This window comes from Homo sapiens, chromosome 12 (assembly GCF_000001405.40).
Source record: "Homo sapiens chromosome 12, GRCh38.p14 Primary Assembly".
Lineage (NCBI taxonomy): Eukaryota > Metazoa > Chordata > Mammalia > Primates > Hominidae > Homo > Homo sapiens.
In genome coordinates, this window is record NC_000012.12 from 93,966,158 (window position 1) to 93,983,481 (window position 17,324).

The 17,324-nt window shown below is 44.0% G+C and overlaps 1 long non-coding RNA gene across 1 annotated transcript in view, besides 1 other annotated feature; it reads right to left on the minus strand.

Moving 5' to 3' along the window:
* Positions 1-3,518: 3,518 nt before the first annotated feature.
* The window catches only part of LOC105369912 (uncharacterized), a 41,668-nt gene continuing 27,862 nt past the window's right edge, over positions 3,519-17,324 (minus strand). Inside the window, exon 3 of the long non-coding RNA XR_001749263.2 lies at positions 3,519-3,692. This is a non-coding gene — a long non-coding RNA (uncharacterized LOC105369912). The remainder of the gene's footprint in view (positions 3,693-17,324) is intronic.
* Positions 13,076-13,370: a silencer, noted in NCBI's record as "tiled region #7430; HepG2 Repressive non-DNase unmatched - State 13:Ctcf". NCBI's record gives its function as "represses a minimal TATA promoter and a strong SV40 promoter by Sharpr-MPRA in HepG2 cells {active_cell/tissue: HepG2}" and the evidence as "EXISTENCE:reporter gene assay evidence [ECO:0000049][PMID:27701403]".

Below are 17,324 nucleotides of genomic sequence, written 5' to 3' on the forward strand. Positions count from 1 at the left end.
CAACACACATGTGTACTCTGTTCTTTGCTTGATTATGTCTATTTCATCCTCTAGACCTTCATCAATCGTCCTATCTGTACTATTTTCTTACTCTCCAATGAAGGCATACTTTGTTTCCATCAGATAATGCATCACAAGTTGTAATTATATGTTATTTACTTGCTTATATGCTATTTTTCTCCACCAAACTAAAAGCTTCTTGGGGTAGAGACTGCTTTGTTGCCCATTGTGTACTTAAGACTTAGTGCAATGCTTGGCCAATAATACCAGGCTCTTGACAGATACTTGTTAAATAAATATTTCTTTAAGTTATCATTCACATAAATTACAAAAAGAAGTTATTAATTAGGATACACAATACATTTCCAGATTTTTATAAGGATTAACTTTATTGTTGTGAGGAATAAATGAGATATGTGAAAACTTAACAGTTTACCATCTGCCCCTTATCCCTCCATTACTCCCTCCCTCTTTCCATCCCTCCATCCCTCTATCCTTTCCTCCCTCCTTCCATCCCTCCCTCCCTTCATCCTTCCACTCCTTCCTCCCTCTTTCCATCCCTCCATCCCTCTATCCTTTCTTCCCTCCTTCTATCCTCCCTCCCTTCATCCCTCCACTCCTCCCTTTCTCTTTCTATCCCTCTATCCCCCTATCTTTCCTCACTCCTTCCTTCCCTCCCTTCATCCCTCCACTCCTCCCTTTCTCTTTCTATCCCTCTATCCCCCTATCCTTTCCTCCCTCCTTCCTTCCCTCCCTCCCTTCATCCCTCCCTCCATCTCTCCATCCCTCTCTCCCTCCCTTCATCCCTCCCTCCATCCCTCCCTCCCTCTTTCCATCCCTTCATCTCTCCATCCCTCCCTCCCTCTATACTCCCTCCCTCCATCCCTCCCTCCCTCCATCCCTCCCGCCATCCTTTCTTCCCTCACTCCATCCCTTCATACCCCCTTCCCTCCATCCCTCCCTCCCTCTTCCCATCCCTCCATCCATCCCTTCCTCCCTCCCTCCCTCTTTCCATCCGTCCATCCATCCCTTCCTCCCTTTATCCCTCCCTCCATCTCTCCATTCCTCCCTCCCTCCCTCCATCCTTTTCTCCCTCTCTCCATCCCTCCCTCCTTCTTGTACTAAGAAAAACATGGAACTCTCTTGACTTTGATTTTCTTTTCTGCCTACCTTCTCTCTCCATGAAGTTTGACTACAATGAGATTTTTAACTCCCTAAAGAATCTCTCCTTCAAAGGACATGGATTATAGAGGAAAGAGCATTTTCTTAATGCTCTGTTAAAACCACCTATAAAGAAATCGCTCTATAAAATGTTGACGTCTCCTAAGACCTCACAAGCAATTTTTAGATAAAGTCATCACCCAGAATTTTGAATTCACTCTCAAGGATCAAAGCATAGAACCACACCTGAAGTAAATTTAGAAATAACAACCACCACAACTAGTACTCAGTGAGGTTTTCCTTGTGCCGAGGCTATCTCATCTCTTTTAATCTACCCAGCAGCCTGGGGAGAAATGTACTGTGATTACCCCATCTCCCGGTGAGAACCTAGAGCTTAAGAAGCAGGACTCGACTGCAGGACTGTCTGATTCTGGAACCCTCTGACACTTTCCTGCACGGATTCCCAGCATTTATGCCTCTGTCTCTCTGTTTTGTACTTCAATCTGGCTCAAGTCTAGGCCTCTCCCTCTCTTGTCACAGCTCTTTAGGATTCCTTGTGGCAGCCAGCCTGGATGAGTGTGCCTAGTTTTTCTGTGAATTCTCTCTACTTCATAACTGCTGATCTCGTCTTCCCACCTTCTTTCTTTCAAGTTATTCTACATTCCACATAGATTAATGTTGCTGAATTTACATGTTTTTGTATATCACCTCAACTCAAAAAGTTGTACTAATCCCCCTGTTTAAGATGTCAGATCCAGTTCTGCCTTTTATTAGCTGTGTCTTTGAGCAATGTAATGAATTTTTCTGAGTCTCAGTTTTCTTATTTCTAAAATGAAAATGCACATCTGTAATCCCAGCATTTTGAGAGGCCGAGACATGCAGATCGCTTGAGCTCAGGAGTTCGAGACCAGCCTGGGCAACATGGTGAAACGCTCATCTTTACAAAACATACAAAAATTAGCCGGGCATTGTGGCACACACCTGTGGTCCCAGCTACTCAGAGGGCTGAGGTGGGAGGATCACTTGAGCCTGGGAAGACAAGCCTACAGTGAGCTGCAATTGGGCCACACTGCACTCCAGCCTGGGTGACAAAATGGGACTCTGTCTCAAAAACTAAATAAATACAATTAATATGATGATATCCACTCCATGAAGTCATTAAGAAGATTAGACAAGGTTGTCATTCTGGACAGGTGAGGCTGTGCTGCTGTGATAAACAAGCCCTAAAACTCCGTTGTTTTGTTGTAACTCCTGCTACATGTGCCTCTCAAGCTCCTCATCTTTACTTCGGGGCTCAGACTGACAGAGCAGCCTTTATCTGAAATGTGGGCAGATGTGGGCCAGTGAATATGAATGCTACAATCTCCTACAGAAAATGCAGAGCAAACACCCGCACAGTGTCTGACGCCTGGTACGTGCTGAAGGAACGTTCTCTCCTTGGAGCTCATCCTCAAGTGGGAAGTCTACTACACCAACGTCTAAACCTTTATGGGAAGCCTGTTCCTGCAAGATGTGTGAAGTTCAGACACCAACCATTACAATCTTCTTTCAGCGGGCTTACACTGTTGAATGATTAAATTGTTCTTTATGTCTCCTGGCTTCAAAAACTGTGTGGGTTACTACATCTGTTTCCTGGGGCAGCCATACCAAATAACCCCAAACTCAGGGGCTTAAAACAATGGCAATTGATAAACTCACAGTTCTGGAGGCCAGAATCGAAAACGCAGGTGTTGGCAGGGCCACACTCCCTCCAGGGGCTCTCGGGGGAATCTGTTCTTGGTTTCTTCCAGAACCTGGTGGCCAGATCACTCCAACCCCTGCCTCTGTGGTCGCATTGCCTCTTCCTCTTCTGTGGGTTTCCTCTGTGTGTCTCCTATAAGGACACTTGTCATGGTATTTAGGGCAGACTCAAATAATCCAGGATGGCCTCCTCACCTTAAGATCCTTAATTTAATTACATCTTCCAAGACTCTTCTTTCAAAGAAGGACACATTCACAAGTTCTGGGAATTAGGACATGGGCATATTTGGGGAGGGGGACCTCCAATCAACTCACTACTATCGTCAAGTGCATACTCTTAAGCAGTTCAAAGTTCGCAACTCGGTTATTTTTCACCTATTTTAGAAAGAGGTTGATTTTACACACCACATTGTTCTTTCAGTGACCGACATCTTATAAAACCCAGAAGTAAGTAAAGAGCATTTATTGCCATGGTAGCCAGTTTTGTCACTGAGAAACAGCCCAATGTATGTTCACACTGTCGTATTAGGAAAGCAAAAAGAGTAATTATATTAAAATAAAATACAGCTTCCTCTCTTCTTTCTTTCCTTTATTATTTCTGTGACTGACAGTCTATCAGATGAGGCTTTTTTTTTTTTTTTGCTGAGGTTGCTCATACAGACCATGTTGATGTCTCTAGAGGTTCTGCATGTAAGGAAAGCCAGATTTTTCACCTTTGACAAAAGTGGAATTTTTCCATTTAATTCTGCATTGACTAAGGTCTTCTGGGAGATTCTGTGCAGTCTCTGTACCTGAAATGCAAAGTCATTGTGAAAGAAGCTCTACGACAGAATAAAAATTATTACAATTCCAAAGGAGTTGGCCTATAATTAATTGTATTTTAAAAGGAGTTTCATTTGCTTTACTGCTTTTTTGGAAGAATTAAATGTAATTTGATCTCTGGGAGAAAATACCAACCTCTTCATGTATATACTTGTTTTGTTTTTTTCCTAGCATTTGGTAAAAGTTAATGAGGCACATTTTTTTGGTATTGTTAGCACAAGTCCTTACTCTTGGTGTGAAAATATATTGACATTTGCTACCGTTTCTATATCATGTGTAAGTGATAGAGGAAGGGAAAAAGAGAAAGAATAGCAATTTGTTGTCATGGAAATGAATTAATACAAAACTGGTGGTTTGTACTATGACTTGAGATGCTTGGGAAGGGGGAGGAGGAAGAATGATAACATCTATATGATCACAAAGCCAAAATTCTTAGAGAAATACTGGCAAATATCTGGAGTGATTTTTATTCCCCATCTATCTAAACCCCTCACATGTTAAACCTATGATGATCTAACAGAACCAGACAAGGCCCTAAGAACTTTCACGTCTCTGAGCAAGGCACAGCCAAGTGCAGTGTTGGTAGATTCTGCATCCAGTCTCCGCATTTCTTGGACAAGTTTGACTCCAACTTAGATAAAAATAACAGAGGCATTTTTGGGCGGGCACAGTGGCTCACGCCTGTAATTCCAGCACTTTGGGAGGCTGAGGTGGGCAGATCACGGGGTCAGGAGATCAAGACCATCCTGGCTAACACGGTGAAACCCCGTGTCTACTAAAAAAATAAAAATACAAAAAATTAGCCAGGCATGGTGGCGGGCACCTGTGGTCCCAGCTACTTGGGAGGCTGAGGCAGAAGAATGGCATGAACCCGGGAGGCAGAGCTTGCAGTGAGCCAAGATGGCGCCACTGCACTCCAGCCTGGGCGACAGAGCCAGACTCCATCTCAAAAAAAAAAAAAAAAAAAAATACAGAGGCATTTTCAGCAGCTCCCCTTCACTTCCTGCAATTAGATTGGCTGCCCAATTTCCACTAATGCCCCATTTTCTGGCAAGTAAAACCACCATCACGGGATTAACGAGAATTACAAGTCAGGTTTTAGGCAGAATTATCTTTAGGCATTGACCAGGGCACATTTTGACCACTCCCTTGCAGTTGCTAACTAAGAGTCATATAATAGCACACTGACTACCTGCACCCATCTGGAACCCATTATTCCTATAGATAGAATCTCTGACAATAGACCATTTTACCCATGAATTGCTTAGGGCGTTTTTCAAATCCAGCAGAATGGCTGACGCCAACAAATGTAAAGACCCTCACCAAGGAACCAATTCAGCATAGGAATGCGGTTTCTTCAATACGCTGCCTGTCCCGTGACTTCACCCTTCACTTCTCAACAGATCAACAATCCCTACACGTTAGTCCATCACCTGTACAGACTCCTTAGAAACAGTATCCCCAAACCTCTTGCGGAGATGGATTTGAGGTTTTTTCTCATCTTCTCCTTTAGCTGTCCTATGATTATTAAACTCTTTCTCTGCTGCAACCCCCAGTGTCTCAGTATGCTGACTCACTGTGCATCAGGCAATGAACCTATTATAGTTACAGAAGGACTGTAAATCACAGAGTTGTCCCTTGTGGCCATGTCTGGACTATTGACCCTAGCTCCTAATCTACTTCCAGCCATTGGATCAGGGGTGGAACCTGGCTTAATTTGACCAGTTGCAGTAATTTGCTCCTTTGGGCATGGTTCATTGGTCCTGGAGTGGCCATCTGAGACAAACCAAATTAACCACGATTGTTCCCCAGAACTTTTCAAACTGGAACTAAGAAAAGAGAGCTGGTTTCATTTTGGAGGTGAAGATGTGGGCTCTGAGGCCTGGAATCTAAATGTGACCATGTGACCTACCTGTTAAAGAGATCATTTTAAGAGAATGAAGCATGGAGTGGCAGATGAGAGATGGGGAGAAATTCTACTGGCAGAGAATGTAAGTTCCCAATTCAGTTGTCCTCATAGTCCAGCTGCACTTCACATCTTCCCGCAGTTATGAGAATCCACCTCCAATAAATTCCCATTGCCTGACTAAATTATTTAAAGATGGGTTTCCATGCATAGAAATCAAAAAAAGTTCTAACTGGCTGGGTGCTGTGGTTCACACCTGTAATCCCAGCACTTTGGGAGGCATTGGTGGGTGGATCACTTGAGTTCAGGAGTTCGAAACCAGCCTGGGAAACATGGTGAGACCCTGTCTCTGAAAAAAAAAAAAGTTTTAACTAATATACCTCTCCTTACCCTTTTTGATTGTGACTTAAAGTATTCTCAGTTAAGTTCTAAGCATCTTAGGAGATGCTAGAGGCATGGGTGAGCCAAATAAATGAAGTCGCAGAGCCCCGGCATATTGCTGTGTTATGTGAGGCCAGAGGAAACCCAGGGAGTTCTTCAATGGGAATATTCTATTTTGATTTGCTGAGATCTGCTGAAGGCTCCTTCTTGGGTTAAACACAAGTATTCCCCCAGCTTGCAGAGACGTTTTTGTTTTGTTTGAAAAAGTACTGTATCAAATGCAGTCCTTTGGTTGGCAGAGCTCCTTATATATCTTCTACATCTCTTGTGGCACTTTCACATCCATTATCACATTTTTACCTCTTAAGCGTTCCTAGAGGTGAGTGAGGCCAAATGGTACATTACTATTTTAAAAGGAGGAGGCAACTGCATTCCAGAAGGATTAAGTGTTTTGTTGAGAGCTACTGAGTTTGTCCAGGACAAAATCAGCCTGAAAATTGGGTTTCCTGACTCTCAGGATTTAATCCGTGCCCTACCCACATTTGACCAAAAACAAATGAGTCTTGCGGCTTCTCTGGTTCTTAGTCTGAGAAGGCAAAGACAAGGGGCTGGGAAATGCCCCTCCAACTGGCCATGTGGACTTGTAATAAGCATGTAAATACCATGCTGGGACATGGCGGCAAGGCTCATTTGCTGCCTTCTCACAAAGTGGAATGGGAGAATTCGTTGCACGGTATTAACCAATTGGTTGCCTAGTAGTCTGGTGAAGTGTATTAAGGACATTACCAGAGCAATGTAAGCTAAGGCCAAGGAGGACAGTCTGACCAGAGGAAGACCACAGAGTATGTGTTTCTACATTTACATATGACTCAGGAGAGTTTGGCATCATAGCTGGGACCATTTTCCAAACTGAAAGAAGGAATTTCTCTACTTGCGAGGGTGGCTGGGCAGGCTCCATGGAGACAGAAGTTTGCCTGCAGAATTACTTGGCTTTGTGTATAGCTAGAGGTGGTCAACTACACTTCCCCTTCCAACAGGCAGCCAATTGGAGAGGGCTAGGGTTTGCAGATGGCTCTTCTGCTCTTCTCACCATGGCCCTGGCAAAAGCAACCATTCAGACTCCATTTGTGGTGAAAGGAAACACAGTTGAAGGGTATGTTTTACCAGGGATGAAAACCAAGTGAACCCAGGAATATATCGTGAGGCTCCTTTTTTCAGCTCAAGGCCCTGAAAAGAAAACTGAACTTTGTTGATAGTATTTGACTATTGTTCGTGTTTAAGGGCCTCCAAAATTTGGAAATGGGGGAAACAGGACTGACTTTTTAAGTGCTTAACTGTAATAACTGTAGTATTGGACTAAATGTGAAAGATCAACGGAAAAAGACAGGATGACTTCCAAAGCCCTTGGACTAGCTGGGAGTGGGAGGATGGTGGTGCAAGGGGAGGCAGTGGTTGGGATGGGCAACTGTGGAAACAGAGAAAAAAGACAGACACAGAGACAAATATTGGTGGTGCTCATTCAAACACTTCCCAATGGAAAAGAAGCCTTAGCCAATGGATTTTGGGGGTGCAATGCCACTCCTAGTGGGTAAATGTATCTAGAGGGGTATAATAGCTCTTGTGTTTGTGCCTTCACATTCTGTCTGTAAGACTATCTCTGTGTGACATGAAAGATGTACTGAGTAGCTTACTTTGCTACTGCATACCTTTGGCTTATCCAATTCTCTTTGATCTGATGTCACACTCAACAAGTAATCTCCTGATTACTGTTTAGCTCCTACAGGGAAAGAATGTATTGATCCTAGAAACTTCGGATATTCTTGTCCTTCTAAAGATGGTTTCTTACGAGAAGTGAATAACTTGGCATTCTGATGTTTTATATCAGCCTTTTGAATGTAATTAGCATGAGCCTGCCCTGAGAGACGCATGGCATGATGTGTTGACAAAGTCAGGTCTGAGCTCACCAGTCTAATTATCCAACTACTGATGATTGTAAATTTGTAAGGTAATAAATGATACACTGTCAGGCCATTTGGGAGACGGCCGGCCAACCTTCCCACAGTGGGGTATCCTGATATCACCCTGTAACTGAGAAATCACATTTGGAACTTTAATACAACCCTCTTTGAGGAAGAAATAGCTACAGCAAGGTAAAAATAGAGTGTTAGTGATAGGAGGTAGGAGTGGTGCTAAAAATGTTTATGGCATGAATATAGTAGCCGTGAGAATGTGTCTCACAGACTTCCAACCACAGGGAAGTAGCTGTGCTCTGAAATCTATTGTTATATTTGCACCGAGGCCACACTTCCAGTGGGTTGCTCCCAGTGACTGAGCATAGCAGGAATACTAAAGCGGGCCCATTCCTGGGAAACAAAAGACTCCTCTGATGGCTGATGTTGGCATGAGAACTCCCCAGCAGCCTTGCCAAATCTCTTCTAGATTGCCTAGCAGTCTAGAATGCTTCCAATCAAGCTTCCTTCCCATGCTCCTTCTTGGGGTCAGATTTTCATCATGCTCCTTACATATTTAGTCTTGTCTTTTCAAATTCCCTAAACAATCACAATGAAAAACATTGGATGAGATGTGAAAGGTCAATGGAAAAAGATAAGATGACTGATGACTTCCAAAGCCCTTGGACTGGCTGGGAGTAGCCAGGATCTTGCAGGAAAGAGATGGTATACTCAAATCGGGATACTTTGAGTACAGTTAAATAAAGGAATTGTTTTCAAAGTTATGGGCAGGGTATAGAGAAGCCACAAGGGAGAGTGTAGTTGTTCATGAATAGCTAGGTACAGCTCTCCACCCTAGGCCTGAAGGAGCAAGGGGAGAGAGCAGTTACTGAAATCCCAAGATTAAGAGGGCTGTGGGTAGAAGCTTGCCTTAAAGGCGCTAGGATCTTTGTATAAGGAATGCAGCCCATCTGCAGAATCCCCAAATGGAGTTGCTAAAGGAATCAAGACCCTTGCTTCCATGTACTGTCTCTCTCTGATCTCCTGCTTGCAATTGGCCCAGCCCAACTGGAAGCTGCAGGGAAATGAGCCTATTGATACCTCATGCGTTAGCCTCATGCATCCTACACAGGGAGAGAAAGGTGGAGAGTGGATCTGTAAAGGCAGGTGGGATGTCTCCAGCCGCAAGACAATGGTGCGCTTTTATGTGGTAGCAGCGAGCCTTCCCTTAAGGCTTTCCTATGGCAGCAATGACAAAAGAGAGCCCCGACCTGGGAAATGAAAGACACAGACTCCACTGAAGATAGTGTTGCGTGAAAGAAACAGCAAAGACTGTGAAAGAAATTCCAGCCCTGGTGTTCTGCCTGGACCTAGACAGGACCTAGCCCTGGATTGAAAACCGGAGCTATTGGTTTTTAGGCCTTGGGATATGGTGCTTTCTTCAGGATTGGACTCATGAGATAGTCTCCAAAGAGGTCAGTAGGTGGGAGGATATCTTTTCAGCCCAGAATGGGCTAATAAGATAAATTCAGAATTAAACTGCGACGACTGCTCAAAAACACAGAAAAGAAAAGGAACTGGATGGAAACAAAGGGAGAGCCTGCTGCTGGCATCTTTCTTTTTACCACTCTCCCCTGGGAGGTTTGTCCCTGTGGCATTGCAGTCTCAGTTGGAGACTTCTTGGAGGGAGCAGCAGAGCTTCTTGAGTCTAAACTGACATTGAAAAAAGGCTCTGTATTACAAGAATACATCTGAATTCATCATGGAAGTCAAGAGGAAAATGTGATTGAGGGAATTCCTAAACTCCACCCTGTCTCATCATCCCACGTCCTTATCAAGCACCATGTTTTATGGAGCCTTCCCCTGTCTCCTGGATCTGCCTACTCCTCTTCATTCCCATGGCCACTGCCTGAGGCCAATTCACCATCCTATTTGCTTGGATTACCACAATGGCTGCCTCACCAGTCCCCCTGCCTCTGGCCTGACTGAAATGTCAGTCAGGATGCTGTTGGCTATGAGAAAACTGTGACTAAAATTGGCTTGCTGTTGCACATAACCACAGGTTCCTCGTAGGGGCAGGCTCCAGAACAGCCCACCAAGGCTCTGGCCCTACTTCTTTCTGCACCTCTTAACCTTAAACTCACCCATGTGGTAACTTCATCAGGCTGGTAGATTGATAACCACATCCATTCCTGGTGTCATATCCGGTCTCTACAAAGTCCAGAGGTAGAAAAGTCCATCTCTTCTTGTGTGCTTCACTTATACAGGAGGAAACCTTTCTAGAAGCCCTCAAGGAAACCCCCCTAATGCATTTGGCCACCCAGAAGAGGGGGATTTCTAAACAAGCTGGGAGTTCTGTTAGGAAGGAAGAAGGTGGCTGCTACATCCATTTTTCTACACAGCAAACTTAATGATCTTTCTAATGCAGAAATCGATCATATCATTTTTCTGCTTAAAGTCCTTCAGTGGCCACCACTACTCTCACACAAAGCCCAAATGTCTTACATGAGCATATGAGGCCATTTTTACTATGACCCCTGTCTACCGCCCCAGCCTTACTCCTCTCCCTACCCTCTGTCCTGCAGTCATGCTAAACTGCTTGCATTGATATAAACAAGCCATGTTCTCCCCTCTTATCAGTTGCTTCTTGGCTTCTGCTGTTTCCTTTGCTTGGAGAACACCTTGCTTCTTCTGGCTTACTTGGGTCATTTTGGGAAACTCCATATAGATACCAGTTCTTCTCAGGAGGCTTCCCTTGGCCCTGCTGTGTGCTTACCCTTATACTATCCCTTGGCCTACCTTGGCCAAGCCTTCCCTTGGCCCATCTTGTGCCTACTCTTACACTATCTGGAGGTATTCAGACGACCTATTTGCCAACCCGTTTCTCTTCCCGGACTCCAGGCCACAGGAGGGAGAAGTCTGTGTGCCTACTGTAAGGAGCTGTCTGGTGCCTTAGGTAAGACTCAGTTTCTAGCATCAGACAGCCCGGATTTGGTTCTTGCCTTCAACTACTGTAACTAATCATATTCAATTACTATGAGTAACTAAGGTCACTAACTGCTTTGAGTACTCAAGGTAGTTAGTGACCTTGGGCAAGTTATTTAACTCCTCTGAACTTTTGTTTCTTCATCTATAAAGCAGGGACAATAACACTCACTATCTCATGCAGTGATTGTGAGGGTCACGTGGGATGATTTGTGTAAAGCACTTAGCACAGTGCCTGACACCAAGCTGGTGCTCAGTGAATGTTAAGCTGAATGGTGATTTGGTGAACAGAGCTGAGTCTCTCCCACTGTTCTGGGGATGTTAAAAGCACTCTGATACACGTACCTGGATACAGGGCTGCCAAGGCTAATCTTATATACATAATTGAGGAGGATGTAGGGATATGTTGGCTTCTCAAATAATTATTATACTAGGCTATGTTGCTGAATTCTTAATCCTGCCATTACAGATTGACTATTTCATGTTAGCAATCAATCAATATTTACTAAGAAAAAAATTCTTGATAGTGCAGTGGCAAACTCACTCATTTCCTGCTCCAAAAGACATGGCCTTGTCCAACTAGTCAAGCTGTAGACAGCAAGTGCTCTTGGACTTCAGAGAAGATCTCTACATTGAACTTGGAGGATGATGATGACATTTAGACAGATGGAGATGGGAGAAGAGGACCCAGACAATGAGAAGAGAAGAGGCTGGAGAGCTCTGTGCATGGCAGAGGATAGCATATGAACCTCTGGTGACCAGAGGGTCTTGCAGGTACGGACTTGGGGATTTTCCCTTGAAAAATGTGAATTCACTTGAATTGATATTTTATCATAGAATTGTAGAACCAGAAAGGAATTTTAAATCCCCTTATTTGAAGAAACTGGAGCTCAGAGAAACTAAATACTGGGTCCAAATTCACCCAGTTAGTTGGTGAGAGAGAGAGAGAGACTATAAACCAAGGTTATCTGACCCCAAATCTAGACTTTAGAGCTCTTTTACCCACTACCAAACCACCTCTTAATTAGTTTAGTTATATTTCTTCTTCTTCTTTTTTGTTTTTTTTTTTTTTTTTTGAGACAGAGTTTTGCTCTTGTTGCCCAGGCTGGAGTGCAGTGGCGTGATCTCAGCTCACAGCAACCTTCACTTCCTGGGTTCAAGCAATTCTCCTACCTCATCATCCCAAGTGGCTGGGATTACAGGCATGTGCCACCACACCCAGCTAATTTTTTTATTTTTAGTACAGATGGGGTTTCTCCATGTTGGCCCGGCTGGTCTTGAATTCCTGACCTCAGGTGATCCGCCCACCTTGGCCTCCCAAAGTGCTGGGATTACAGGCGTGAGCCACCGCGCCCGGCTCTTTCTTCTAATACGATGCTGAGATAATGAAGTGAGAGAAATTGGGGATTCATTGTGGGTGGAGGGGGTGGGTGAGAAGGGAGCACAAGAGGAAAGAGAAGAGGAGACCCAGGAGGAAGTGGGGAGGTGGGAAACATGTGTCTCTAACCTTCAGCTTCTTCCAACCCTCTTTGCCTTCTGAACAGAGCCTAAAATGCATTCACACAAAAACATAAATCACCCAAAAGCCAGAAACAAAACATCATGCTCAAGTAGCCTGTTATCAGGAGGGGCCTGGAGTGGAACACTATGTTGCAAGAACCAGCACTTCTGAAACCCAAGTTCCAATTCCAGTCTGCCACTGACTCATATTATAGCCTTGGGGAAAACATGCAGCCAATGGAACCACATAGAACATTCTAAAGGAATAATTCTGAAGATACTTGAAGACTGTCGCCATCATCCAGCCCTCCTCCCAAGGCTTCAGGTCTTCAGGCTAAATACCTTCCATTCTTTATCAGTTCTTTAATTTCTAATTTACCCCGATTGCCCTCTTCTGGATAAGTAGCAATCTGTCAATGTCTCTTTTCAAGGCACTATGAATGGGACATAGATTCCAGCTGGGTGGGTATATCAGTCCAATTCTCTCCTTGCCATGCACTCTAGACTTGTATTAATGGAGATTGAGTGCGGGGCCTCTTTGGCACTTTGTCTTACCAGTACTTTCCTCCCATGTGGATGCAGATCCACTCAGTTACACACGCATCCATCCAACAAGGCTATCATCTACTACAGACTCCTCCATTTTCTCCAGAAACAAATTCAGAAAGACTTTGTTAAATGCCTGGTGGAAATTCAGATATGTTATGTGCACAGACATATCTTGATTTACCTGTCTGCAGTCACAATCAAAACAAAAAATTGTATTTGGTCTTTCTGAGCTTATGTTGCCTCCTGCTGGTTGCCATCTCTTGTTCCAAATGCTCATGAATCTTTCTGGTCTACGACCTGGCTCAGGTCACCTCCATGCTTACCAATCTCTCATTGTCAGGACCCACCTGCTTTCTCTAAAAAAAAAGGAAAAAAAAAAAACTTCTTCCTTACTTTTGGTTGTCTCTAGTTTTCCAGCATCCCCTCCATTTTTCTGATTACTGAGAGGATTACATAGAGCAGTTCAATCATCTCATTGCAAAATGCCTGATTATCCTGGCATGTAATTTTTATTTATTTATTTTAGAGATGGAGTCTTACTCTGTCACCCAGGCTGGAGTGCAGTGGTGTAATCATAGCTTACTGCAGCCTCTAACTTCTGGGCTCAAGAGATCCTCCTGCTTCAGCCTCCTGAGTAGCTGGGAACATAATGGGTGCTACCACACCTGGCCCTGGCATGTAATTTTGTAACATCTTTCTTATAAAAGACACTTCTGGTAGAATTTAGGTTATAGGTGAAGATGCAACATAATTTTTTTTTTTTTTTTTTTTTTTTTGAGATGGAGTCTCGCTCCGTCACCAGGCTGGAGTGCAGTGGTGCGATCTCAGCTCACTGCAACCTCCACTTCCCGGGTTCAAGCAATTCTCCTGTCAGGCTGGAGTGCAGTGGTGCGATCTCAGCTCACTGCAACCTCCACTTCCTGGGTTCAAGCAATTCTCCTGCCTCAGCCTCCCGAGTAGCTGGGATTACAGGCACGTGCCACCACGCCCAGCTAATTTTTGTATTTTTAGTAGAGACGGGTTTCACCATGTTGGTCAGGCTGGTCTCGATCTCGTGACCGCGTGCTCCATCCGCCTCGGCCTCCCAGAGTGCTGGGATTACAGGCGTGAGCCACCGCACCTGGCCTTTTTTTTTTTTTTTTTCTGAGACGGAGTCTTGCTCTGTCGCCAGGCTAGAGTGCAGTGGCGCAATCTCAGCTCACTGCAACCTCCGCCTCCTGGGTTCAAGTGATTCTCCTGCCTCAGCCTCCCGAGTAGCTGGAACTACAGGTGTGTGCCACCATGCCAAGCTAATTTTTATATTTTTAGTAGAGATGGGGTTTCACCATGTTGGCCAGGATGCTCTCGATCTCTTGACCTCATGATCCACCCGCCTTGGCCTCCCAAAGTGCTGGGATTATAGGCATGAGCCACTGCACCTGGCCCTAATGTAATTTTTTAATACCTTTCTTATAAAAGTCACTCCTGGTAGAAATTAGGATATAGGTGAGGCTGTAACTAAGACTTGTGATAATAGAGAATTGGCACAGAGAGAGGATCTCTCTGATGCCCACACCTCTGTAACAGCCCACGTGTAAGCAGTCCTGGGCTCCTATGGCAGCATCAGTGACCAGGATCCTTTGATCTTGCTGTTCCATCTCTAGAGAGTTGCTTTTGCCCATATGGTTCAAGATGGCTCAGCAGCATCATTTCATAAGCCTCCTTGGCAGTGGAAAGGGGAAAAAGGGAGGAGGAAGGCGCAACCCTGAACTTGCATATGTTGCTTCTATTTATATCCTATAGGCAAGAACTTACACACAGGCACTGAGCCGAAAGGAAGACTGGAAATGCAATCTTTATTCTGAGAAGTAATATGCTCAGCTAAAAGTCTGCAGTTCTGGTTCTATGGGAAAAGAGAAGACAGATATTAAAGAAAATTAGCAGTCTCTGCCACACTTCAACTTCCTCTGTAAATCTCTTACATTCCGCATTTTCCCATATCTGAAACTGTAGAGTCACTTCTACTTTTCCTAATTCTTTTTTAGTTACTCACAAAATCCTATTTATTTTATTCTTTTAATCAATTCTATTTTACCTCCTAAAATATTTTTATCCATCCGTTTCTTCCTATATTCACAATGATCGACATCCAGATACAGACACTCATCAGTCTTTGGTTTTGCCAGCCCCAACCCAGAGTCCACACTGGTCATCTTCCACCTGCTGGGGGCTTAGCAGGAAAGGATAGAGGATAGCTCTCCCCTCTGGCAAGTGGCATGGGACATAGTTTTCTGCTGCTCTCAATACCGATGCCTATTTGGCATTGGACTGGGGATGGGGAACCAACATTCTTCCTTCTTAGCCCCCTGTCAGGAGGTATAAGAAATCACTGCTTCTGCCACTGCGACATCCTTCCCAGGTCCAGCTAATTCCTACTGACATTAGTTCAGCCTCACTCCCCAGAGAACAGTGCTCCTCTAGCTTATGTCATCTTTTTCCCCATCTTTTGGGTGCTGTGTTTAGCCATTTTGTCATTTAACAAGACAATAAGAGCCTTTTAACTTGTGTCTCTGGAAACATCTTGTCCTCCTCTCAATCATCCTGTGCAGAGACAAATTAATCTCCTTAAAATAATGATCTCATTTTTAAAAACTCTCCTACTTAAAAATTTCTAAAGGGTGGGCCATTTGTCACAGCAGTGGTAGCAATAAGCAAATGCATGTTGCCTTGCTCAAGGTCATTTCACTAATTGATCAAGATACTCTTTCCAGCTCAATGCAGATGAAGCTTTAGAATCCTTTCCCACAGTTGGCACTACCAACCGATTAGAATTGGCATGGAAGATAGATCTTGTTTATCACCCTTAGCCTATAAAATTTTTTCCAAAAGTTAGGCTTTTGACAGTGCTCTATCTCTGAACGCTTTTTGTGTGTTTCAAACCTTGTTTATCAATATATGCAGGGTCTATTTCCTCAAATAAACCACACATTCTTTATTCTGGTTTTCTTTTCCCCTTAAATGTCTGGGTTCTGCTCACAGAGTTGTTTACAGCTGTCCTTGGTCAAAGAGGAGATGGTGAAGGTGCTGAGGGCCGAGCCAGTGGCAGAAGAAAAGAAGGCCAGAAGGAAAATCTAAACTCTCATCAAGAAAGGCAGTAAAAGGCTGTAAGCAGAAAACTGGTACCAGGTGTGAGATCCAGGGAGCGAGGCAAGGTCAACAAATGGAAAAACCAGAGCTCAGGAGCCAAAAGGATGGGAAGCAAGTGGGGTTGCAGAGTGCAAGTTGGGACAAGGCAAATTGTTCATACCTAAGTGTTTCTTGGAGCTCTCAGACCTGCCTCTGTGCAGGGTCAGCCATTAAACAGAACTCCACATGTAATATGCACTCACACATGAATAAGCAAAAACATAAATCAAAGTAATACCATCTAACCCTATGTTGAAATGCCATATCAAACATCCATTTTCTAGTTTCCCTCAGTCTTCTACACCCAAGTTCATACAAAAATATTGGCTTAGCAACTTTCCTTTAAATTACTGGTTCTTCTCTAAATGTCTTTAACATTGTATTTAAACCACAGTGGAAAAGATAACTCTTGGTAAGTGCAGTAATAATAAAACACATCATTTTAAAGGTGGCAGATGGAAACCAGAAAGACTCCATCCAGGGATTTTTGCAGATTAGATTCACATGAAGCTTTAGTCCCCGCTCTGCTCCTGCTAAAGCTAAGTGATGGGCTTCTTGCCACAACCGCCTTTGCAAAAAATAACATCTTGCTCCTACCAAGAAAGCAGGTGACAAGCTCAGCAGCTGTGCTTTGGTTTGTTTTTCTCCACAGCAGGAACATGTGCCCCGGAGTGGGCATTGTTTGTGGAATCAGTAGGACAGTAAATGCAAAGGCAAGGAGATAAAGATCAGTCAGGAAGGAGAAAGTGGCACTTGGGGGCAGAACGAAACACCAAAAAAGCCAGGTGATGGAAACAAAGCGAACTATCATTCGCCCAAGTTAACAGAAGCAAGTTGACTCAGGCAACTGTGAGAAAAGCTAAGACTGTTTGCATGCACGTGGTGAGTCATCTAATGTGTAAGTCAAGCTACCAGCTAGAATTAATCTTGTGCATGGAAACAAATTCGAGTATTTTGAACATGAGCTAATGAGATTGACCTGTAGGATCACGCAGCTCTAATAGCTGAATAGGCATGTCAAGGATAAAGGCAAAAGCTAGGGGTGCCCTCGGGAAGTGCCTTTCTTTGTGGCCTGTGCATTCGCTCTTTGAGGGATGCCGGCTGAGCTGAAGAAGATTTGCCGCACCCATGCTGCCCTCAAGTTCCTCTTTATTTATAGTACTATT